Source organism: Homo sapiens, chromosome 4, assembly GCF_000001405.40.
Source record: "Homo sapiens chromosome 4, GRCh38.p14 Primary Assembly".
Taxonomy (NCBI): Eukaryota; Metazoa; Chordata; class Mammalia; order Primates; family Hominidae; genus Homo; species Homo sapiens.
This window is the reverse complement of record NC_000004.12, coordinates 80,180,907-80,204,376: the sequence shown is the minus strand read 5'-3', so window position 1 is coordinate 80,204,376 and position 23,470 is coordinate 80,180,907. Positions and strand designations below refer to the sequence as shown.

The following is a 23,470-nucleotide window of genomic DNA, read 5'->3' as shown; positions in this document are numbered from 1 at the left end:
AGTATAGTCCTTAACTACAACGATAAAATTTAAAAACTTTCCAAATATTTGCTTTGAAGAAAATAGTCATTTATTGTCAAAGCATCCAACATACTCGGATAAACTATAAAGTTTAATAAATATTTCCAGGGATAAAAGAAACACATAACTATTCAGACTCCATTTCACTGGCACAAAATTACACTTTGTATTAAAAGAAAATACATATGTACATAATTGATGACATTCTTCATTGAAGTCCATTATCATTTCATTATACATGCACTTCCCCCTGGAAACTCAAATTGAATGGTGATCCCTTTTTATTCATTTTGTTTATTTTTGTAGGAACACAAACTGTCATCAAGAAATGCAGAAAGCATCTCACCCTCCTCCTTTACTTTATATCTAAAATAAATTTTGCCCTTACATATAATTATTACATCTAAATCGTAAGTGCTTAATAATTTAAGTAGAAACGTATGACAAATGCATCAATATGTTGCAATATATGACATTTTAAAAAATGTACCTTTGTTTTGGGGAAAGTGAAAATGCGTGCATTCAAAAGAAAACCCCCTCAAACAACCCACCCAATCAAAACTCCACCATCCTGGCTCTTGTGTGTGAGTGTGTCTGTGTGTGTGTGTGGGGGGGGGTGTGTGTCCCGGGTAAATATTTGAATGAGGTTCCTGGGAGGAGAGGACGTGTGTGTGCGCGTTGGGGGGGCGGGGGGGCGGTGAATGTATGTGTCTTTGTGCAGGGTTTCGGGGTGCAAGGAAGCGGTGGATGTTCTCGCGTGTTTATTCCTGCAGGTGGCTTAACTGTGCTTGCGCGCGCGTGGAAAGCTGGGGTCCTTTCCGAGTCAATTATGCGAGGTCATGTGCCTGGAGAGGTGGTGGCGCTCCCTGAAGGACTCATTGCAGATGGGGCACTTGAGTTTCTCCTCTCGCCGCCGCTTCACCAAGGGCTCCATCGCATACTCCTTTTTGTGGTGCGACCTCATATGGTACACCAGGTCGGAGGTCATGCGGAAGGAGGCATTGCACTTGGCGCACCAGTTCTGCGCGGGCAGACACAGCGAGGTGAAGGAGGGCGGCAGCAGCGTGAGCGCCGAGGGCAGCTGCAGCTGCAAGGGCCCCGCGGCCGCCGCCGCAGCCGCGGCTGCAGCGGCAGCGGAGCTCTTGGGCCAGAAGGCGGTGGCGTACAGGAAGGGGCTCTGCTTAGGCAGGCCGCCGCCGCCGCTCGGCAGGGACCCGCAACCTCCGTTCAGGTCCGCGGCCCCCTGGAGCTTCACCGCTAGAGGGTCCGCGGCGGCGGGATAGAGTCTGGTGGGGCCCACGCCGTCGGCGGGGTGGCATGGCTCGAGCGCGCCCAGCTTCTGGCCCAGCACCAGCGGGGACAGCTGCGAGAAAGAGCGTGCTGGCTGCGAGAAGGCGCTTTTGCGCTCGTCCGACGCGGCGCCCTGGCCCCCGCCCGCGCCGCCTGCGGCCCCGGCGCCCGTTCCGCCCCCACCGCTGGTGCTGCCCGCGCTGCCCAGCTGCGGCACCGAAGTGAAGGCGCTGCCCCTCGCAGGACTGCCGCCCTCGAGCCGGCTGGGCAGCGGGCCCCCAGGCCGCGGGGCCAGCAGCTTCTCGGCGCCCACCGGTGACGCGGCCGCGGGCGTGGAGGAGCCGCCGCCGCCGCCAGCGTCCTGGTCCTCGGAGGCGACTCCCGCGCCGTCGGCTGTCCCCTCCTCCTGCAGGCTGGCCGCGCGGGCAGCCTTCTTCACCTCCACGAAGGCGCTGCGCTTCGCCTCGCCCGTCTCGGGACTTGGCGGCGCGAAGAGGCGGCCGTTCTCTTCCAGGCCGAAGTAGCTGCCCGAGGCTCGGTACTGCTGCGGTGTGCACACCAGATCCTCCTTGGAGGCCGGGAGGGGCCGCTCTACGAAGCGGCCCCGGCCCCCTACCAGACCAGCGCCACCGCCGCCCTCCGCCGCCTCCTCCGGGAATTTCCTCTTTCCTTTGCCGCCGCCCGTGGCGATGCCGTCGGGACTCAGCTCCGCCTCCTGGTGGCCGCCGCCGCCGCCGCTGCCGCTACCGCTGCTGAGGCTCTGGGCTGGGGAGCAGCTGCTGCCTCCCCGGGAGTTTTCCAGCTCCCTGGCCAGGTTGTGGAAGTCTGTGGATGGCTTCGCGCTGCTGCCGCCGGCGGCAGCGGATGGGTTGCTGCTTTCCGGGGAGGGGGATGGGTAGTGGTGGAGGGGGCCGGCTTTGCAAAACTTGGGACCCGGGCCTAAAGGTGCCTCCTGCTGCTGCTGCTGCTGGTCTTTGCCACCGCCGCCGCCGCCCCCGTGGTCCTTGGTGCCCACGCCGCCGCCTTGTTCGTCTTGGGGACTTATATCAGCGCTGTGAAGTCTCTTGGGGCAGCGGAAACGCAGATGCGCCACATAGGGGAACTCAAACTGGAAACGTTGGCTGCATTCCAGGCATGTGTAAGGGGACGACCCTGCTTAGTGAGCAAACACCACACACACGCACGCACGCACACACACACACACACGCACACCACATGATTACTCAGCATCGCCCCCAAGCCAGTTTGCCACCATCCCCTTGACAAATCCACCTTCATTTCTCAGGGCCTGAGTGCCTGAGAAAAGAATGACCAACCTGATCTAACTTTCCCTCCTGATTTGGAGGGAATACAGCAAACAAGCAAGTTTCCTCGCTTTATCCTCACCTATCTGTTTAACTTCATTCCAGACTACATCTCAGAATCTTCCTATGAGACACCCGAAGGGAAGAAAGGCGCGCCAACGCGCCGGGTGAGCCCCTGCCGCTCCCTGCGTCTCTCCCCCGCTAGTTAAGGGCCCACACGCCGGTCGCGAGCCAACCTACCATTCATTTTGTTGTGGGATCTAGAGGGGCAGAGCAAGAGTAACTCAGTCAGTTCTTTCCCGTACCAAACTAGTAACTCCTCGTCTTTGGCAATCCTGCGGAGAGAGCGGTAGAACAGCTGTCCGTTTTTTATGTAGGCTTCAAGGTTCTGCTCTTCCTTATCTCTGGCCGATTGGACCAACCGCAGCCACATGAGACCTTCTGAGGAACCATTTGCTGCTGAGGTGTCTACCTGCGGTTTGAAATAAATGAAAGAAGACAAGAAGGAGAGGGGGAGAGGGACCCTCATGAGGGAATGAAATCAGAAGAATCAAGACCATTTCTTCTATGTTAGTCTTTTCCAAAAATTGTCTGAGACCACGCTTCCAAAAGTTTGGCCCAAGCTGGGACCTGTCCTCATGTTTGTAACCATTAGGCAAGATAACCATTCTTTGAAACACTGCATCAATCATATAGTTTATTTAAGTCACCGTTTTTATATATTGGTTGAATACTAAATGAGGAAATTTCTTCTTATAATTTAGTGTTAACCCCTTGAGAGTTTACTTCTAAGTTATTCCACATTACAAAGGTATGGAGAATTTTGTTTGTTTCAGAAATAAAGCAAGCTTAGATCTTAGAAATTATGCTATGGCAATCATGTTCCTAATCTTGGCTAGAACAATTAATAGATTTTCTTTGTAAAGAAGAATAGGAAATGAGAGGTCTGAATCTTCCAATTCAGACATATGGATTTGATGATGCTTTACTGTCAAAACCATAAACATTTTTATTTAAATACAAACTCTGGGCACTAGCTAATATTACCAAAGAAACTAATCTTTAGGGGATGAAGAAGCCTCCTCAAATGGAAGGCAGATGTACCCAATACTTGTCAAAGAACTTGCAGAAACTAGTTAGTATGCAAATAGCCTCCACCCCAGTGAAATCTCCCAGAGTTTAGGAAGTCGTGTTCATCACCAGGATAATCCAGAACTGAAGCACTGATTTAGATATTTCTAACATTCCAAATCAAATTTTGTCATTTATTCCAAAAAATCAGTTGACAATAATTTGAGTTTAATTTTCCTTTTCTAATTTTTGATGTGTGAAATGGGATTGCTTGCATTATTGCATTTTTCCACAGGCAAAACCTATCTCCACTTGTCATTATAATTATTTTTAGTCCATTTCCAACAGGACATTACCCTCATACACCTACACAGCTACAGTGGAGACTTACCCGAAAGATATACGGTACTGTTCTCTTGTCAGTAGACTTGAGAGCTATGAAAGCTATGCTGTCATATAGGGAAGTATGGCTCAGGACACAGGGACCAAATATAGCATTCTCAGGGATGTCGCAGGTGGTGTAAACGCTGGTAAAAATATCTGTCAGACATTGTTGGACAGCCTTGGCATCTCCATCCCAGATGCCTCGCTGGATGCCAGTATCCTCCATCACTGGAGATAGACACACAGCACAAGAAAGTGAGTTATGTTACTGCTTTTAACGCCATTAACCCAAGCAGAACTGTCCAAATACTAGGTAGATTTTCCTTGCACATGCCTGATTTTTGCATAGCTCTTATTTCAAAATTAAAGCAGATAAACATGGCATATTTTAAAGATGAAAACTAAGGGATACTTGTTAAAATAATTAGAATAGTGGGAGATCTGGAGCTGACTGCTTGGGAGAAAGAAAAGAAAGGGCTAGGAAAGACTAGATAATTTTTGCATTACCTTGATGTTGGATTGGGTAGGTTTTAGAGGTGAAGTTCCAGGCAGAATTATATATATATGTACACACACACACACACACACACACACACATATATATATATATACATATATATAATTTTTTAAACCAGCCTATAGACTTCCCTTACTGAAAGAAACTTCTAACCCTTGGGGGAAAGTGCCTGTCTGCCTATGTATTGAACTGGGTGCCCGGGAGCTGATTTTTTTCTTTTCTTCCAAGGAGGGGAACAGCGTTAGTGAGCAGGCGGAGACAGCGGAGCATGGCGAATGGATTTCAAGTGGAATGTCAGGGCCACTAATTCTGTGTCAGCTAACCTTTCTCTGCAGCCTACAAGAAGGGACGTATGTCTGCTCATTACCATAATCCAACACTGTTCCTCTGAGGCTTTAATTAAAAGCAGCAAGCAGAGGTAATTTTTTTTTCTGGACGTGCTTATTTATGGATGAGAGTGAATCCCGGTTACCTTGTTATACAAGGGGGTGGATTGAGTCACATGTGGCTCATGAAGTGAGCAGGTACAGGACAGGCCTAAAGTGTCCCCAGTCTGAAATACTGTGTGTAATGACTGGTAAATTTTCACTCCCCCTACCCCATATGACCCTTTTTGGGCAAGAGGGGGCAGCCCTGCTTGAGCACTCCTCAGTGGGCTCCCCAGCTGTTTAATCCGCAGCAATTTAGAAAGTAATGCCCCAATGCCCTTTATTAAGGTGTCATAAAGGGACATTTTCCTTCCTCTGGACACCCCATACAAGACTTATCACTAAAAAAAAAAAAAAAAAAAAAAAACAAAAAAAAAAAAACCCAAAAAAACCCAGGTATTTAAATTTTTAAACTAGCTTTGAACTAGCTGCATTGCTTAGTATTTCAGACTAATCAAAATATTCCTCCAAGTTTGTTGTTCCCTAATAATGTCACTGTTGGCAATTATTTATGTATGTTTTATATAATTAAAGTAGCAGGAAAGAGTAGATCTAATTCTTTTCCTGCAAAGCTGTTCATTATGGAATAATGTCAGTGACATCTATTTTTATTTTAATTTATATTAACCAGTTAACCTTACACGTGTGATTACAAGGTGTGCTTTTTTCCCCCCATTCCAGCTAACATAGCCTAAAACTTTGGTTAGCCTCATTTTCCATTCATCCTCTTGCATCCCCCAAATGTCAAGTGTTGGGCTGTATCTCCCAGACAGCAGAAATAAGGGAAAATATCCATAAAGTAGAAACTTTTTTATTCTGCATCATCTATCCCTGGTCATTTTTACCCCATACAAGGTAGACATCCTGATTTTTTCATTTCAAATTAAAATACATTTTAAAAACCCCATAACCTCTTATCTCCTTTTCAACGGAATCCTATTCTCCTCTTTTCAATTTCCTTCAATTCAGCGTTTTATTCCCCAATTTCTCTCTTCCTTTTAAAAATCTCTTTCACACAAGCATTTCATTGTGCCGGGAGGTCGCCCCGTCACTTCGGGCAACAGCAGGGACACAGTCATTAAAATGCAGTTCTACCTAACAATACGGCAAAAAGGTCCTCACTACGCCGCGCTAATAGCGGTCGGAGTCGCAGCGCCAGGCGCCACGAGCCTCAAGCCCATCACAATAACCGCTGGGCAAGAGCCTAGGAGCGCCCGCCCGCGTGCGGTCGCCTTTGCCACGCAACGTTTCACAGCTCCGTGCCCCGCTCTAGGCCCAGGTTCTTATCCGCCTGCCCTGGGAATATACCCCAGAGCCGGCGGGGCTTTCTGAAAGCCGGTCGCTGCTGCCCGCCACTGGCCCGTCCCTCTAGGCAGGCATTGTCTGGCGGCCGCGCGCTCCCCAGTCTCCGGCTTCTCCGGCAAAGTGCTCACCACCCGCTCCTCCTTTTGTACAATATTACTGGCAGTAGACAGCCCCTCAAGAATTATTTTTCTCTCTCTTCTGGATAATAAGGAGACGGAAGACAAAATGTTCTACTCTTTCCACCAAACTGTCTTCCTCCCATCCCCCTCCCACATCAATGCAAATAGACTTACCAGGAATAAGGTCAGTATAGAATCTCCCAAATAAGGCCACCTGGAACCGGGAAGATGCAATCGAGTGTTTCCTTTTGCCTATTGTATCAGTGTATTTCCATGTCAAGAGGTGTTGGTGTTGCCGCCTTTTAGGCTCTTCCTGAAGAGATAAGAGAGAGATGGAGAGATGGGGAGAAAAAGATTGGGGGGGTGGAGGGAGGGAGGGAGGGAGAGAGACGGAGAAACGGAGAGAGTTGTACAGATGGACCCGATGCAGTGACTGACTGGCACGCAGACACACACTTTTTGTTTGCTGCACATAATCTGCCCAATGACGCGTGACAGCCCACGTCCCCTCCCTTTAACTCTTTGCTGGGCCAGGCGCTCCCTCCGGCGCCGCCTGCCTCGCAGCTTTTTCCCCCGGCCTGCCCGCGCCCCGCAGATCCTGAGCGCCTACCCCGGGTGGCAACGCCTCTCAGAGAGCGTCCCGGCCCGCCTCCTCCTAAAGCTCGGGCCCTCTGGGACTGCTAGGAGGGGAAAATCGTTTCAGGATTGGAAAGGAAGGTACCAAAATGATTGGAGAGGGCCTTTCCCCGTTTCACTAGGCACTTGGAGAAGCTGTGACAGAGAGCTGGACACCCAGCGCGTGCGGACCCCGTGCGTATTTCCCCGGAGTCCGCGTTCCGTGAAAGGGAGAGGGGTGCGGTTAGCTCCAGGGATTCTCTAGCCCTGGAGCCACCGCTGATTTGCGCAGCTAGTTGCCTGGGGGTGATAAACGGGCGTCGTCTCTCTTCAGGAGCGCCAACACTACCAAGCTTCCCCCTGCAAAATTCAGAAAGGATGCGCTTTGGTGAGAACTTGGCTCAGCCTTCCCGTGGCTTGGGAGATGAGGTTGGAGTGAGAATGTCACCAGACCTCGGAAGGGGACATAACGGTACCTCCTAGTCCCAGGACACGGGTACGTGGGCGGAGGTGGGGTGTGGGAGGTTGGTGGGAAGAGCGCAGGTTACTGGACTCAAACAGTTCCTGTTTTTTTTTTGTTTGTTTTTGTTTTCGTGGGGTTTTTCCCCCCCTCTGCTTGGTGCGTTCTGCGCAGCCCCAGAGGGAGTCTATAATGGGTACTGTTGGCACTCTGAGGTCTTGGGGTTGGGGGGCAAGGGTGATTAAAAATAAAAATGATTACCAAGATGGGCTCCGGAAAGCTTTTCACATCCAGCGGGTGGTGGAGGAGGGGATGGAGTTGCCGAGGCCGTCTCGGGAGCCTCGTTTGTGCGCTAAGCCACTTAGAGGCGCTGACTTGCCCCTTTAGTGCAGCAGCTGATGCTAATGACTTGAGGTCTTTAACAGCCTGCAAGTTGACTCCTTCAACGGGGCTGCAACACCACGTCGCTGGGGAATCTCGGGCTTCTTTTTCACAGTTCAATTCTCTACTCCTAAAGGAAGAAAGGCCTTTGAGTGGTATAGACAGTTTCTCAACTCCTTCAGCCCCACACACACCACCACTACTTTGAAGTGGGCAATCTGTCAGCATTAGGATAAATCGGATTGTGTAGCTAGCTAAAGTGGAGGAGGCAGAACCACAACGTAAGGAGACAGCCTCGTTGTTGTTTTTCCTAGTGTTGAAATAATGTATTTGGGGAGTTGGCAAAGAGCAGCTTACCATGTTAGTTTGATCCTCTCCCAGCTTTGAGACCCTTCTCTGGAACTCAGTGGGGTATTGAGGCTTTGACAGCCTGGTGACTGCAGTCCCAGGAGGCCAGGGGAGGATTTTGCTGAGGAGAAACAAGTGCAAGGACTTTCCCATGAAGTTCATGTTCTTCCTTGTTCTCTCTCTCTCTCTCTCTCTCTCTCTCTCTGTGTGTGTGTGTGTGTGTGTGTGTGTATTTCCTTCTCTTTTCTGGTTAGTACCCCAGGCAAATTCCGAATTGCTGCCTAGAATTAAGCTGAAATTCACAGAAGGAAGGGCTGCAAAATCCCCATATATTCAGAGAAAATGGGGAATCCCTTAGTTTTCAGGTTAGCTACTGACTTTTCAAAGAAAGCTTCTTGAAGTGCAGTTTTATGTACTTTGGCTATGTGCAATTTTATCTACTTCGGCTAAGGTTGGCTCCTAATGACCAAGGCTCAGTGCAATGAGGGCTCTCTCACATGCCTGTATGTAAGAATCTGCAGCTATACTGAGCTACCAATTGTCTTCTGACTGATTGCTCCATTGAATACTAGATTCACTTCTCAGTCTCTCTCTCTCTCTACACACACACAAACACACACACACACACACACACAAAGTATGGACACATGGTCCCCTAATACTTCTTTAAAGAATGGGTGGAAGCATTAGAAATGTGAAAATAATGTCTCAAACATCTGGAAAATAAACCTCAGGTTTGAAGAATAGTGGCCAGAAACTTAAGTTAATTCAGAGTAGAAGAAAGAAGAAAAATAAAGAGCAGAAGAGGCACGGGTGTAAACAACTTCAAGTTAAGAAAGAAAAGTAGCCATAAGAGAGTCATGTGGTCCCTTAGAAACTAGACTGATAAATGCAATATGGTGTGTGAGGAGCAGTGTTTAAGAACATAATTTCATTAATCTGTCTAACAGAACACTCCTTAATGCTTTCTTTTGCTGTTATTTAGAGAATTGGAATTTTATCTTTCAGGAAAAGTCATCTGTCCATGCAAACCATTAAAAAATTATCTTACATATTGTAAATATGTAAGCCTCTACTCCAGAATGTGGACATTTAGAAAATAAACTCTAAATGGAAGGCATTTTTCTTGTGCCTGGCCTTTCTCTTATTAAATACAGAGACCATTTAAACTATATTTCTTTTGAGGTACTAAAACCTTGACTCCAGTTTGTATAAAATAATGTTTTTGGTACTTAAGTTGAGGGTGGAACAGCTTGACCTTTTTATGTCTTAAGCTAGAAAACAGCGACAATTTTATACATCTGAGAAGGGAGCAATTTATTGAGAATCTGGCCAACAGATGCTTCATTTCAGTTTCACTTTTTTGCCCTCTAATTAATTTTTTTCCTACTGCTTTCAGGTAGAGATCCTTAAATATAAGAATTTCTCACATTTTATGAATCTGACCTACCCTTTTTATTATGAGTTAAATAACTGACATAACAAAACAATATAAGTAAGATTAAGTCGAAATTCTTACTTGAAGAGTTTTCTAGTAATTTAAGTGGTACACATTTTGCTTGGTAATATAAATGTCCTAAATGACAATAATTAATAGGGGATAAAGAAAATCTACAAATTATTTTTATTTCTGTAGAAATTTATGGGCTAAAATGGTACATAAACTACTTTGAAATCACTCTGCATTAATACTTACTGGAATTCACTGATACTAAATGAAGGGTTGAGGCATTTATTCAGCCTCAGACAGTACTATAAAAGTGTACCTAGTCAATAGTTTTATGTAATTCATATGGAACAATGGGTTTATGCATATATTTGGAGCTCTCTTCCCTAGGATTTTATTTCCAATTAAGTAATTAGAAGAATGACAATGAAGAGTGGGTATGCTCACCTTGTTCCACTTTAGCAAGGCTCTTTGGAGTCCTGGCAAAAATACACATGTAGGAAACTGTAGTGTTATTTTGGAAGAGTGGGCTGGAGAGAGGTTGATAAATGACACCCCAGGTGGCTTTTATGACCTAAGTGAGAGGGTGGAGAAAGGGTAAGAAAGGGAATTTTAATTCTTAGGGAGTATTAGAATGGGAACACTCTTTCTCTTCCCAGGGTTCAAAAATGGAGCCCAAAATATTTCAACTTCTGTGATAAGAGGCAGGTAACATCTCCAAGAATAATTCACGTAAAGATTATTATCCCATGAGAATGAAAACACACTGATTTTCTTTTTCTATATCTTTCTAGGTCCTGGCTTACCCACCTCTAACTCTATTGCCAAAGCACTATGCCAGCAAAGGCTTGATTGTCAAAAGAGTATGGCAATTCATGGTGAAAGGGGGGGAAAAAACCCACACACTGGAAGATAAGAGGATGCCAATGGAGCAGACAGTGGCAGCTCCTTCCTAAGCTTATTAATTTCCCACAGGGAGGTCTCTGGAAGGGGCTGTGAGGGTTGAGGGAGGAAGAGAATAGATCTTCAAGGAGGAGTATTGTATTACCTAGCCTCACCATTCAGAATAAGGAACTTTTTAAGGGATAAACTTTACTGACTACTTGTACATGAAAGAGAAACAGAAATGATGGGCTGGTCAATTAAGAAAAACACCAGGCCTGTGCCAAAAATGTTGTTCAGAGGGTTGTTAACTCATTTTCTACCACTTTGCCTTTATCAAGAGAAAGATACATGGTGGGTTTTTAAAAAGACCCAGAGGGGTTTGTTTGTTTGTTTTACATTTTGGTGAGTCGAGAAGAGCCATGCTTGCTGAGTTGGGTAAAGGATGATGTGAGGGGGTGGGGTGTGGGAAGGGCTACTCGTTTTTTATAAGTATACATTGCAAACTCAGTTTAGGTCTGTTCCTCACCCTAAGTATTGTAGTTGGCTCACTGGGTATTACATGAGCAAATGTTTTCCAGGCTGGCCCTGGGAAAGCCAGAGACTCAGGGTTGGGTAATTTTGTAGCCTGTGAGGAAGGACTTCAGGCTCCCAACTGTAGGGATCATTACTTCTGACTCATACTTTTCTCTCTTGGGCTTTTCCTCGTAAATGATCCTGCTTTTAATCCTGCTGCTCCTGCAGCTACTACTACCACCATTATCATTACAATGATAATCTACCTTTCTCAAGTTTAAAACTTTCTCTCTTAGCCATTCCCAAGTTTTACTTACACTTGTGTTGGAGTTCAGCTGAGAATGGGATAGTCTTTGAAAGCTGTATGTTATTATCTTCCTCTCCTGGATCTGGGTTGTAGTGAACTGGCTTAATGGCCTCTGAGTATGACTTTTAGAAGGGCTAGCAAACCGAAGTGACATTGTGCACAACTACCAACAGATATGAAATCAGTGCCCCATACTCATCTGTGTGAGTGTGACCTCTGAACCAAATCCAATATCCACTATTTCAACCCCCTGGGTTCTCCCAAATGTTATACTCTTCCCCAGATGAGTGTGTAAAGATCTGGCAAGAAAAGGCTTGGATTTTTGTCAAATCTGTAGGTTCCAAAGTCCTTCCTAGACTCAGACACCACACCCTTTGAACGCATCTCAGTGTGAAGGGGGTTGACTGGTTGTAGCCAGTTCTCCATCAGTCACTCTGAACCTCCTTACCCTCTGGGTCAGGATTTTTAGGCAGACTGCAGATCAGGGGATGTCTAGCAGTCTCAAATTGGTGTCCAGCAGTCTCAAATGAAATTTTGAGAAGTCTAACTCTAGGCCTTGGGAATGTGACAACATTGAGAGGCTTTACATCAAATTTCTTCACACAGCCAGGAGAATGGACATCATCCCAATTCAGTACCTGTGTGCCACCCTTTTCTTCTCTGTTTTAGGTGGATTGTAATTCCTGAGTTAAATAAAGAGGCAACGATAGACACACAGCATATATATCCTGGGCAGACTACACTCCTTGACATCTAATCCCAGTTAGCTTTCTGAGGTATGGACTGTAAGAATTCGGGCTGCTGGGGAAAAAGCAGCAGAAAGCATGGCTCTTCTGGGAAAGAGGTCTAGGCAGGGGACACAAATGTCCAGTACTTGGAATAAACCCATGGTACACTTTCCTGAGGCCTGAAGAGAGAGACATTTCATTTTCTCCAGGAAAAGAGAAGCGAGAGAAAGAAAGTAAAAAGAAAGGAAGAAAGAGAGAGACAAAGAGTATTTGAGAAGCGGATACCAGTTAGGAACCACAATAGTGGTGATTTACCTTGTATTAAAGAGTATTGGAAATATGGTTCAATTTCTTCACAAATTATGCTCCCAAACTGCTCCCTTGCTCATATTGCCAACTGAACTCTGAGTGAAAACTATCTTTCATGATTTCAGTTCAATTAATCCCAGGTGTTCTATGATTTAATCCAGGGGTATTAATTTAGCATCAATGGGGGATGTCTCCCAAAACATTATATGAAGAGGTGTTAGTTTTCAGAAGATTTTCAAAAACACTTGAAAGCTACCAATGTAAGTCTTTCCTCACTGCTAATACTTGGAAAGGTGGTCTCCTTAAAAAAATTCAAAGATCAACATGTCACAAATGCAGCAACATCATTATTACTATAAACACTTCTGGACTTACATTATGAAGTGGAGGCAAGAATAGGCAAGGATTGTAACATATTTGTTCTCTTGAACTTGCTGAGCGAAAAGATGCTTCCCAGGCTGATTTGATAGTATCTGTAATATAGTAACCGTGGTATTATTCATAATCTCCTTTTAAGGAAGTTTAAAGGAAAACTCATATTTTTCAAAGAAATAATACCCGGAATTGCTAAATAAAACACTCATACATTCCTAAGAATAAACATGTTGAATATAATGACCTAGATGTTGAGATTTGCTAGGCCTAGAATTTAACTTAGGCCTGAATAACTTTATACCTGAGCAGAAATTGTCCTCTATGCATATATGGGTATGGGTGTGTGTTTAAGAAGGTTGGGGTGAATGTTGTCAAAGGCAGCAATTAAAAATAAGTTTTAGGACTGTCATTTTACTTGGATGCTTGTCCATTAAGTAGCCAGTGCTCTTTTTTGGATGTTTTCATGTAGGGTGGTTTTGAGAAAATAGTTTGTGTGAAGTCATACAGGACAGCAATTGGTCCCAAGGGAGCAAATTGAATAGCTATAAAGAATATATTTCCTGAGTATAATGTTACTATCTAATATCTTGTGTGTGTGATCAACTATCCCACAGCATTATCTATATTCTAGAGTCAGTTTACTGAAGTCCTAAGACATCTATGTTCCAGATAAGTGGGGTTCCCCTAAACTTGTGAAAATATCCTCGAGAAAGCCAATGCCAATGCACCGAATGCAACGAGTTTCATTTCTAACCTGGGGGACTGAATTAGCTGCTCCTCCTCAAGGCCCCACACAGCTGAGTTTGAGTCCTAAGTTTGGGAAGCAAGACAAGGCACAGAAGTGCCTGCTAGACTCGGACACTTCCTGATGTCTAGATTGTCCGGTGCCCATGTCTTAGTGAAAGGTACAGCGACAGAACTAAGAGTGCAGAGAAGGCCAAATCACGGACTTCAATGTTGGCAAACCGGGTTTCCCTGGGAGAGATCCAAGGAGAGTAACGCCCCCACAGTATCAGGAGGCGCAGACACAGATCACATCGTTTGAGCTGATTCACCAAAGAGTGCAGAGCCCTGACACAGGAGGCTACCAGGGCAGAACAAAACAAGCCATCGTCTGCCCGGCGTCGCCCTTGTAGACGCACAGTGCGCAAACCGTGAATGTGGGGCAGTGTGGGGCCAAGCGGTGCGCTTGGTACGCTCCAAATGAGCCCTGGGCGAAGCAGGGAGGAAATGCAGTTCCCAAGGGCCCGCCACATTTCCCATGTTCTTTAGCCTTCCACCGGCAATTAGTGCCATCACTTGCTTCCCGCTAGGTGACCACTTAACCTGCGGAAAGGCGTTCCAAGGGCGGGGCCTGCGGGAACCTAACACTCTTTCCACCACCCTCTCTCCCTGCCTCTGTGCACGACCTCGACCAGCTGGTCGCCTGATCTCGTTTAGCAGGGCAGGAGCCTGTGTTCCCATTTCTTACTAGCTGGGCTGCCGATGACCTAGCTCAGCCTTGGTTTTCCTCCGGTTGAACAAAAGCTGGCAAGAGCTGCCTCCCGGATCGCAGTGAGGACTCTAAGGGAACGAGGGCGAACGCGCTTTGGAAAGCCAGTTGCTGAGCAGATGGTAAGGGATCACTTCCAAGAGCCAGGGCTAGTTTCATTTCAGTCTTGGACACGAGATGGTCTCAATGCCTTCATTAATGAACATTCTCCTTAGAAGTCTGGAGAACTGACCCAAGAAGAAGGACCAACAATTCAGGCTCAGGAAAGCCCACAATTCCACAGGGGAACCAGGACTGCATGGCTTCGAATCCCAGCCCTCCCCACTCAGGTAATTTAACTGGTCTATACTTCAGTCTTTCATCTGTGAACTGAGAGCATTAAAGGGACCCTTTTCATAAAGTTAGTGCTGAGGTGATACTTAGCAAGCAGAGAACAACGCTTGGTACATACTAAATGCCCATTTCAGAGCTGCCTATTGTTACTAACACTGCCTTTGCTTCCTCATTAGAAAACTGGGAACTGTATTGTGAACCCACTTTCCAAGTGACCCAGCGAGGGCTGAGGATTTCCCGAAGTTTCTAGGGAGAAATGGAAGGAAAGGCAGTCATCCCTTCCCTCTTTCCCAGCCCGCACCGCGCACCTCCCACCCCCACCCCAGGTTTAATGCAAGAGCAATCAGTTTGCTGCGGAAGGCCTGCCCGGTAGATTGATATTTGACTTCCATCCTCCCATGCCCAGCTTGCAAGTTCTTTCTTTAGGCCTGGTAGAGGCGCCAAGGGTCAGGGTCGCGGTGCCACGTTAGAAACGCGGATAAGTCAGTCTGTTAAAGGCTGATCCGGGCGACTCCGTAGGATGAGAAGCATGTGAACACGTTGATGGTAAACTCCAGCGCCGCGGCCAAAAGCCGAGGTCTGGGGGTGGGCAGAGAAACCTGGGGACCGGGCTTCCCAGCGCTGACCAGGGCTCTGGGCCTCCTAGAGCGCGCGTGACCTTCCCACTCCTGTGAAGGGCTGTGGCTCAGATGCGGACCGGGTGGATGGCTCCAGCCCTCCCCTACACACCCAAGTCCCGGAGCTTGGCAGGACGAGGTAACTGATGCCCGGAGGCAGCAGCTACACCACTGGCACTGGAGCTTTGTGCAGGGCGAGTTCCCCCCGTGGCTGCCCTCACTCCTTGTCCCAGCGCCCGCACGCTGGCTTCGAGCGGAGCCCTGTGGGCCGCACGACAGACGGAGCTCCCTGTCTGGCTCGCGATGCCCGGCGGAGCCTCCTTCTCCTAGCCCACGCAGCTTCCGCGCAGGAGCAGCCCTGAACGGGAGCTTTACGTTTTCCCCACGCGCACCGTCTCAAGTTATATGAAACTTTCCGCCCAGGCTAGGACTGGGGATCAGGTAATAGCGGTCAGTTGTGGGTTCCCAGTTGCTCTTCCTCCTGAAGGATCCAAGAGGCAGTGGTTAAGAGGTTGATATTTGGGATTTTGAACACTCAGGTCTGAACCCGGGGTCTGTAATCTCCTACCTGTGTGTTTGAGCAAATTACATAACCTCTCTGAAATTTAGTATCTTCATTTGTAAAATAGTAAAGACAACATCTATCTCATAGAGTGGTTATGAAGCCTGGGTTCAGATCCCAGCTAGGCCACTTGCTTGAGTTAGTTAGTATCTCTATGCTTTTGTTTCCTGTGAAGCAGGGGGATCTGTGAAATAGGGATATTATAATATTTAACATCAATAACATCATATTTAAAGGGTCAGCATAAGAATTAAGTGTGATGAGGCTGGAAGAGCATTCAGCCTAGCACAAAAGAAATGCCCAAAGTTTAAAGCAGCTCAGTGTCTTCTGCTTTGGAATGCTGGGTAAATAGAATTTTTAAAATCTCAGCTCTCTCCTCCCAATTTTTTTCCTCTTTGGAGAGAAACAAGATGCAAAGATGCATGTCAGTGTGTGGGGTGGTAGTGACTGGAGAGTTGGAAGGAAGTAGCTTGTGGTAGAAAGTTAGGTGACCCTTGTGGAAGCTGAATGCGGGTCCTCCTGGCCTTTTGTCTTTAGTGTTTAGGTACAAGGTAAAAGGATTGAAAAGGCAGAGAAAAGGGACTTGGAACATGGAAGACACTCAACAAATGTTTCTTGAACAGAAAATGACATTTCAAAAATCAGGGAGACAAAGAGTCTGTCTGAAATGGGAATGGAGACCCAGAGCTGGGATTGACTGCCATCTCTTGGTGCCAGGTTGCCAGTAGGCATTTGGGGCTCTATAGGAGCATTTCTGAGTGACTTTATGTTACAGATCTCAGGAAGGGGGGTGACATTACTCTAGAAGAACAGACTCCGAGGACAGGAGGAGCAGGAGGTTGCATCCCCCTGCATATAGAGAAGGGGCATAACCCAACAACAGACGCGGAGCAAACCTGACTCAAGAGAAGTTACAAGTAAAACTCAGGTGAAGAGAAGAAAAGAGAAATGATATGGACTATCTTGGGGTGAATTAGGCCTCCAGTATAGGGTTGGACTCTGTATATCCCCCAAACCTTGGAAATTCAATTTGGAGCCCCAAACCCTAAATTCACAGACATCCCCTAATTATCTCCATAGCTCAGACCCTTTCAAAGTAGAGAAGCATACCTGCATTACCAAATGCCCCATCATTTCCCCCTCTCCTTCAATACCAGTATCATCCTCTGACTTCAAATGGGAGCTCTTAGCATTCTTTTCTGTTCTTCATAGATAATAAAATAATGGACAATAATATTTTACCCATCAACTAAGAGGACATTCAAGAAAACGTGGCCTGAAACAGCATTCAAGATGATATTCTTCTGCTTCCCCCCGCCCCAGGGCAGAGAATGCTGATACAGCAACAACCTGGGGTATTTCGTAAACTTCTGGCTCTTAGTCCACTACCCTGACTAAAAGGTGCTGTTAGCAAAAAGGAGAATAAAATAAAACCAATTCCTCAGTGTTCTACCCTGGGGGCAAAGGAGACATTGGTGAGAAGGAGCCACAACTTGGAAAAAGATTTATTTTTCCTGGCCATAAATCTCATCCCTTGTTCCTCTGCCCAACGAAGCATGATAAAGTCCTTTTCCATAAAGTATTCAGTATTAGAGCCACAAAGCTCCCCCAATCAGTAGCCATCTGCTTCTACCATAACTGCTGCTCCCGAAGCAGGGAAAGCAGCACAGAGAAAGGGCACCACTGTTAGGCTGCTGGACAAATGAGGAGCCTGAATAGCTTTGGTTTTCCTTGTGTATCTGTATCTATAGAGACAGCAGAAGAAAGGCCGCATTATATTGATACAACAATTGTAAAACAAAACACGGAAGAGGCATCTAAAGGGCAATATCGCATGCATCAGGGGTCCCCAGATAAAAGGGGCACTAACAGATTTATAGAAACTTTTAATTGGTTTTCAATTGAAAGCTAAAGAGGCCAGGGTGTAGCTGTGAAGAGTGGCAAAGTGCTCTCCTTCAGCCCTCTGGAGGCGTGATCGATTTCATGAAGGGAGAAAAGAGGAGACCCTACCCGCCCAGAGCTGCTGCTTCTTTGAGGGCAGGGAGCAACTCCACATTAGCAACTTTCCTCTTTGGCCAGGGAGTTAACTGATCTGATCTTGACAATCAATCTCTCTCTCTCTCTCTCTCTCTCTCCACCCTGCCTTCTCTCTCTCCCTTCTCTTCCTTCCTCCCTTATTTCCTCCCTTCTTTCTTCCCTCTTTCAGACCAGTAGGTAAGTGGAAAGAGGAAGGAAAGGCTGCAAAAGTAAATCTAACATTCCAGTTCTGGAAAAAAAAAGGCTCCTAATAAGGCCCAGACTTTAAACCTGTTTACCCGCTAGTAGGGAGGCCTCTGAAAGTAACAGGAGTCTGACTCTTATCCTACCCCATCCTTCCTCTTCTCCATTTCTATAACAACCCAGTCTTTCCTTTTCTATACCAAACGGGAAAAGCTAAGCGTCACAGGAGTCTCTCCACCTAGTGCAGTGAGAAGTTTTCCCTTGTGGCCACCGGGTTTATTTCAGAGTGGATCTCTCCATTCAGCCAGTACCGCGCGCCTTTTCCTTAACGCCTTCCTGAGAAGCCAGCTGCAGCGACGGTGGCCCCCGCCAGCTTCGGTGGACAGCGCCCACCCATGCAGCAGCCTCGGACGTCCGTCCGTCTGTTCCTAAAGCTAATTTATTGGCCCGACCCTCCATTACCATTTTCGGCTTCCTAATTAATCAACGATAAAAGGCAATGACGCAAATTACGATTATGAGGGAACTGGAAGACGGTTTTGAATAAAATGGGAGAAGGGAAATATGATTAATTGAACGACATGATAGTGAAATCTCAAGTGCGAGAAAAAGGCCCCAAGGGATCAAACTCTGAACTCATCCGTATTGCAGGTGCGCCCCTCCTGTTGTCCTAGTGCCCTCGCAAGGGGACAGCCCCTAAATTCAGTCACATGGGTCCTAAGCCTTCGGAAGAGACCGAACTGGGTTCCCACTCCAGCTCCCAACCACACTCTGTGCATGAGGCCCTTCCTCCAATCCTACCCCTTCCTCCAATCCCCATCACTCACTTTGCCGCCGCCCCTGACGATTTTCCGGGCTCCTTGCCGGTGAGTCTGCTCCACTTCAGGACCGCATTTTTATTGAAGTGCACCCTATTATTTCGCTAATGAGTTGCGGGTCTCCTCAGTTTCCCTTCTGTCCTTGCACATTCCTCTAGCGAGGCTTTTTGTGAAATTGTAGGAAAACAAGTCTAGTAGGTCAGAGATCGCATTTGCTCGTGTAAGGGATTAATAAAGCTCTTGTCTGATGCTGCTTTTTAGAATTACGTTCGGGATTAAAAGACAGACTCAACACAGGCACACATTTTGCATCCGCTGGTGGTTGTGATTAATTTTTCCGAGGGGATTTGGGCCGGGAGCTTACGGAACGTGCTCTCTGGGTCTAAAACCCAACGACCTCGGCGCACGGGCGAGCGGAGGGTCTGGGGGCACTGTGGGTACGCGCCAGAACACTGGGGGATTAGAGAGGACATCGGACGGGCGCGGAGTTGCCAGCCACTGCGGCCTTTCAATGTCCCTTCCCTCCCTTTCCCCACCCCCAGCGCAACTGCTTCTGAAAAAAAACGGTGAAGACTGTCCGGGGAGGCTGTCTTTAGGGTTTTGGAGAGAAGTGGGGGGCGGGGGAGAGAGAAAGAGAGATACTTTTGACTGTCATGACTTTTCGAGGGGAGAAAGGGGCTCAGTACAAAGCCACTGAACTTTAAGCATCCGTCTAGCAAGGGAAATCCCCAGCTCTGCATTCCAGGGAAGCGCTGCCCCAAGTGCATAACTCACCCCCCAATCAAACAGTCGCCGTGCCCCGTCCCCCGAAAAGAATGACTTCAACCTCTGAGAGCTGCCATTCTCAGGGCTGCTTTCGCGAGCACCCAGGGAGGCACCTATGGAGAGGAGCCAGAGCCAGAACCTGAGCGTGAAACACATCCATCCCCTCCACACTACCTTCCGGCGGGCGACAAACCCTCCCCCCGCCAGTGATCAGAAAAGAAAAGGAAAAGTACCGGGGTGCAAGCGGGGAGGGAGGGGGAAGTAAGAAAACAAGCGCAGAGAGAAAGAGAGAGGAAGAGAGGACGAGGGAGGGGGGAGAGAGAGAGAGAAGCAAAAAGGAAACGAGAGAGGAGTACAGTTAGAACTGAGAAAAATGGGGAAGGGGTGGTCGCGGTGGGCGGTGGGCATTACCGCTTTCCAGCGGAAGGGGGCATCTTTGCGGCAGAGGCAGCGTTCCCCGGGGCGGGGGCGGGACGCCGGGGCAGAGCCAGCCCTGTAGCCCCGGCCCCGGGGTGCTGGCGCCCTCTTCTGGCTGCTGTGCGGCCGCTCCCTGCTTCTCGCGGGTGCTCTGGTCCAGAAACTGTTCCGCCCTCCGCGCCCAGGATGAAGGGGCAGAGGGGAGGAAGGTCAAGAAAGAGAGAGGGTTGGGTACCGGAACGCTCAGGCTCCTCCTTCCCCGCCCTTCGCCTGCCCCGCGGCTTCCTTACCTGGGGACTGTGGGGCTCCTTCCCCGGGAGCGCAGCTACTGCGGGCCCCTCGGCGGCCGCTCTCCCACCCCAATCGGAGCCTGCCGAGGAGCCCGTCCGCCTCGCGAAATGGCCCCGGTCTCTGCTGCAGCAGCTGGGAGGGAGGGAGCGACCGCCGGCTGCTGCCGGGCGGCGTCTGGGGGCCGCGAGCCGAGCGCAAGGAGAAGCCATCTGGAGCCTCGGCAGCGGGCGGGGGTGGGGGTACAAGAGAAGGGGCCAGGCTGCTCGGCCCCAGGCGGGCGCGGGGCAGGGCTCTGGCGTGGGAGTGGCGCCCAGTCGCCCCAAGTACTGCGTGTGTGTCGCGGGAGGGGTGGTGTGGGGAGGTGTGTGAGGGTCATGGCCCCTGGGGAGGAGGAGCGGAGGCCTGCCGTTCTCAAGTCCCGCCGATTACAGGGCAGCCCGGTACCCGCAGGTTTAGCAAAAGAGAGGGGATCCTCCTGGCAACCACCAGCCCCCCTCCAGCCATTCTCCCTCCGGGGATGGAGAGCTGGGCGAGGACAACCCAAGCACTCCTACACGCTCACACACCCGCTGTCCGTCAGAAGTGGTTTGCTCATTTTCCTCTCTTCCCACCTTGTCCATCCCACTCCAGGAAACATTGCTCCCCAAACGGCACGGATTTCTGGACGCCTCCACCTTAAGACAGCTACTTCAGCCAGAACGTGGGACAGGCACTAACGGGATATCACCCTTGGGGATAAACACGCTCCAGTTTCCTGTGGACGGTGGAAGAGGAAAGAACAGGAGAAGCTGCCAAAGGGATGGGGTGTAGGAAGCTCATCCTTGCACGTTTAGACTAGGGAAGAAGAGAATATTAGGGATGGGGGAGGGGGGAGGATGGGAAGTGTAGTTTTTCCCCTTCCTTCCTTTCATTTCAGATCCCATTTAGTGCTTTTATTTCTTTAATTTTGAAAACTATTTCCCTTTCCTGAATCTGGATGCGGGCAGGGAGCGAACTCAAGGAAATGATGAGCATGGATGAGAGCCAGGGGACAGGAGATATGTCCTGGGAACTCAAACTCTGCTGCTTCGCCACTGTCTCCGAGATGCCCTGAGCCTTAGCCCAATGTAAAGGGAGCTGATTGGGTGTATGGGCAGTGGCGGGTGGTCTGAGTAAGAAATAAAATGAGGGCAAGCCAGATCTACTCCCATCCCAAAGCATTAAAAGACACACCTCCCCACCCCTCAGCTGTCTTGTGTCCGGCAGAATGGCATTATGTAAAAGATCTGGCATGTCACCCAGTGGCACATCTGGTAGGTGTAGATGGCATTCATTAGCACGGGGCTTCTACTCTGCAGCATGCCAAAGCTCTGACAGAGATGCCCGCTGCCAATCATTCATTGGCTGCCAATCCCCAAGCGCGGCCGGGCGGGATGGCTTCCTTCCACCCTGGCATCAGGAGTGGAGGAAACAATGTGTTGAGATAGAAGAGATGAAAGTGGAGCTGAGGATGCGAGGCACCCAACAGATGTATCCCATGAGGAGATAACGGTGCTAAAAGTCATTTAGCAAGAAAGCATATGCAGGATCTCAGGAGGGAGGCTTGGGCAGGGGGTCTGCTTGCCTAGGGCTGAGCTGAAGGAAAAGCAGGGGAGCCCTTTCAGAAACCTGAAAGTTGAGGTTGCTTCTCTAAAAACACACAAAGACCAAAACCTCAACCCCCTAAGTGTAGGATTTCCCCCTCTCTTTGGTTTGTCACTTGTATCTCTTTTTATCTAGCAACCTAACTACCTCTGTAAAGGTCAACCTTTGTCATGTTTTTTTCTGAGGACCGAGATGAAGAGCACCTTCCTGTTTTAAATTTTGCATAATTCTCATAGACTAGTAATTTGGGGGCTAAGGGGAGGAAGACTGTCAGGCTATCTTCAGTGCATCGTAAAAGGCAAAGGTCTTATTTCCATTATTAGCTTTTCAGAGGGGATAAAGATGAACAAAGGAAAGCAAGGAAATTATTAAAATGGCAAAGGAAGATTAAACACAAAATCCAGGATAGAGGTTGCCTTTGAGGTTGTTCTTTTTCTTAGGCTGGGTGGCAATTAACAAAGTGTTCAGCGTAGTTTTTCTTTATGCCATATACATATTTTACATTCTTTTTATCCATTCACAACTTAATAAAGCAACAACAAAACTCAGGGCTTTGAAAGTTTGTGGAACTTGGTGTTTAAGTTGACTCTAACTTAAGCTCTTTAGTTTATATATATAATATATATTTGTGTGTATTATCTATACAATTATACTCTTTTTAGTATATGTTATAAAATATTTGGGACATATACTATAAATTTATTCATATTTTATCTAAAACTGAAACTTTAGTTGGCCATTACATATATTTATTTGCTAAATCTAGCAACCTTGGGTATGTTGGCTCATGGTCACAATATAGCTGCTGTAATTCCAAGCATCAAACCATCGTTTTAAACATGAAGAAAGGAACAGGGGCAAAAAGCTGTGGTTGTTTGCTTAATCAATGAAAAGAATACTTTCACTTTCATTAGGCAGACCTGGATCTCCTGGCCACATATACATGCAAAAGAGTTTGGGAAAATTAGCCTTTAAAGTATAAAAAGATAGCGATAAAGGACTGGGGATGGTTGTTGGGTTGCAATCAAAGGTGTCTGACAAAGAAACCGAAGATCAAAGAAGAGTTAATGTTAACATCAAACAAGAGTATAGCTTATCAAGTTTTTTCATTGTTTTAAATAAAAGTTTTCTGTTTTCATTATTGTGATTAAAGGGATACTGTTCTTGAGTTTAGCAGTTTCTTTGTGAATTTTATCAAATATTTCAAAATAAGGGCTTGGTCTTAATGTGTTCAGAAGACAGCTAATGTAAAATTTATCTTATATTTAGATGAAATTAGTATTTGCATTAGTAGTATAATTAGAATGTACTTACAAATTTAAGTGAAACAAAGAAAATGATGTTACAAGGACTGGGATTTGAATTCCCATTCTGCGACTCATTGGGTGTGTGACTTTGGGTATTTTATTTATCTAAGTAATATTTCCCCATTTATAAAATGGGTTAATGTTGATGCCTTGGAGGGTTATCATGAAGTTTAGAGATCATGATACGCATAGAAGGTTTTGAAATGTGGCAATTCTCA

General features: G+C 47.4%; 1 protein-coding gene and 1 long non-coding RNA gene across 4 annotated transcripts, besides 12 other annotated features; one reads left to right on the top strand and one right to left on the bottom strand.

Annotated features, from left to right (window-relative positions):
* On the bottom strand, positions 48-19,107 carry PRDM8 (PR/SET domain 8). 2 transcript variants are annotated; one of them, NM_020226.4, is made up of 10 exons: positions 18,859-19,107; positions 12,808-12,905; positions 10,138-10,264; positions 8,253-8,364; positions 7,776-8,025; positions 7,161-7,414; positions 6,614-6,752; positions 4,078-4,298; positions 2,856-3,087; positions 48-2,463 (listed from the first exon to the last, which is right to left on the bottom strand). In NM_020226.4, the coding sequence occupies exons 8-10, from the start codon at positions 4,294-4,296 to the stop codon at positions 845-847; spliced, it is 2,070 nt and encodes a 689-aa protein (NP_064611.3). In that variant the 5' UTR covers positions 4,297-4,298; positions 6,614-6,752; positions 7,161-7,414; positions 7,776-8,025; positions 8,253-8,364; positions 10,138-10,264; positions 12,808-12,905; positions 18,859-19,107; the 3' UTR covers positions 48-844. The 2 variants fall into 2 exon arrangements, with proteins under 2 accessions (NP_064611.3, NP_001092873.1); NM_001099403.2 differs by lacking the exons at positions 7,161-7,414; positions 7,776-8,025; positions 8,253-8,364; ... (1 more) ...; positions 12,808-12,905; positions 18,859-19,107 and having other exon boundaries at positions 6,614-6,874.
* Positions 1,352-1,451: a silencer, noted in NCBI's record as "silent region_15522". NCBI's record gives its function as "represses an Ori minimal core promoter by ATAC-STARR-seq in GM12878 lymphoblastoid cells {active_cell/tissue: GM12878}" and the evidence as "EXISTENCE:reporter gene assay evidence [ECO:0000049][PMID:35858748]".
* Positions 1,912-1,991: a silencer, noted in NCBI's record as "silent region_15521". NCBI's record gives its function as "represses an Ori minimal core promoter by ATAC-STARR-seq in GM12878 lymphoblastoid cells {active_cell/tissue: GM12878}" and the evidence as "EXISTENCE:reporter gene assay evidence [ECO:0000049][PMID:35858748]".
* Positions 2,354-3,553: an enhancer, noted in NCBI's record as "CDK7 strongly-dependent group 2 enhancer chr4:81121978-81123177 (GRCh37/hg19 assembly coordinates)". NCBI's record gives its function as "activates an origin of replication core promoter dependent on BRD2, BRD4, P300/CBP, MED14 and CDK7 cofactors, with strong dependence on CDK7, by STARR-seq in HCT116 cells {active_cell/tissue: HCT116}" and the evidence as "EXISTENCE:reporter gene assay evidence [ECO:0000049][PMID:35650434]".
* Positions 7,031-7,646: an enhancer, noted in NCBI's record as "H3K4me1 hESC enhancer chr4:81117885-81118500 (GRCh37/hg19 assembly coordinates)". NCBI's record gives its function as "activates a minimal SCP1, AML or CMV promoter by ChIP-STARR-seq in naive H9 embryonic stem cells {active_cell/tissue: H9 hESC(naive)}" and the evidence as "EXISTENCE:reporter gene assay evidence [ECO:0000049][PMID:30033119]".
* PRDM8-AS1 (PRDM8 antisense RNA 1) lies at positions 7,033-23,113 on the top strand. Of its 2 annotated transcripts, none has more exons than NR_183912.1 (6): positions 7,033-7,249; positions 7,389-7,550; positions 12,065-12,171; positions 14,226-14,421; positions 14,518-14,628; positions 20,953-23,113. It is a non-coding gene; the product is annotated as a PRDM8 antisense RNA 1 (long non-coding RNA). The 2 variants fall into 2 exon arrangements; NR_183911.1 differs by having other exon boundaries at positions 14,515-14,628.
* Positions 7,647-8,264: an enhancer, noted in NCBI's record as "OCT4-NANOG-H3K4me1 hESC enhancer chr4:81117267-81117884 (GRCh37/hg19 assembly coordinates)". NCBI's record gives its function as "activates a minimal SCP1, AML or CMV promoter by ChIP-STARR-seq in naive H9 embryonic stem cells {active_cell/tissue: H9 hESC(naive)}" and the evidence as "EXISTENCE:reporter gene assay evidence [ECO:0000049][PMID:30033119]".
* Positions 13,488-14,003: an enhancer, noted in NCBI's record as "OCT4-NANOG-H3K4me1 hESC enhancer chr4:81111528-81112043 (GRCh37/hg19 assembly coordinates)". NCBI's record gives its function as "activates a minimal SCP1, AML or CMV promoter by ChIP-STARR-seq in naive H9 embryonic stem cells {active_cell/tissue: H9 hESC(naive)}" and the evidence as "EXISTENCE:reporter gene assay evidence [ECO:0000049][PMID:30033119]".
* Positions 14,004-14,520: an enhancer, noted in NCBI's record as "OCT4-NANOG-H3K4me1 hESC enhancer chr4:81111011-81111527 (GRCh37/hg19 assembly coordinates)". NCBI's record gives its function as "activates a minimal SCP1, AML or CMV promoter by ChIP-STARR-seq in primed H9 embryonic stem cells {active_cell/tissue: H9 hESC(primed)}" and the evidence as "EXISTENCE:reporter gene assay evidence [ECO:0000049][PMID:30033119]".
* Positions 19,028-19,322: a silencer, noted in NCBI's record as "tiled region #11700; HepG2 Repressive DNase matched - State 21:Repr". NCBI's record gives its function as "represses a minimal TATA promoter and a strong SV40 promoter by Sharpr-MPRA in HepG2 cells {active_cell/tissue: HepG2}" and the evidence as "EXISTENCE:reporter gene assay evidence [ECO:0000049][PMID:27701403]".
* Positions 19,982-20,161: a silencer, noted in NCBI's record as "silent region_15520". NCBI's record gives its function as "represses an Ori minimal core promoter by ATAC-STARR-seq in GM12878 lymphoblastoid cells {active_cell/tissue: GM12878}" and the evidence as "EXISTENCE:reporter gene assay evidence [ECO:0000049][PMID:35858748]".
* Positions 20,172-20,221: a silencer, noted in NCBI's record as "silent region_15519". NCBI's record gives its function as "represses an Ori minimal core promoter by ATAC-STARR-seq in GM12878 lymphoblastoid cells {active_cell/tissue: GM12878}" and the evidence as "EXISTENCE:reporter gene assay evidence [ECO:0000049][PMID:35858748]".
* Positions 20,312-20,491: a silencer, noted in NCBI's record as "silent region_15518". NCBI's record gives its function as "represses an Ori minimal core promoter by ATAC-STARR-seq in GM12878 lymphoblastoid cells {active_cell/tissue: GM12878}" and the evidence as "EXISTENCE:reporter gene assay evidence [ECO:0000049][PMID:35858748]".
* Positions 20,642-20,691: a silencer, noted in NCBI's record as "silent region_15517". NCBI's record gives its function as "represses an Ori minimal core promoter by ATAC-STARR-seq in GM12878 lymphoblastoid cells {active_cell/tissue: GM12878}" and the evidence as "EXISTENCE:reporter gene assay evidence [ECO:0000049][PMID:35858748]".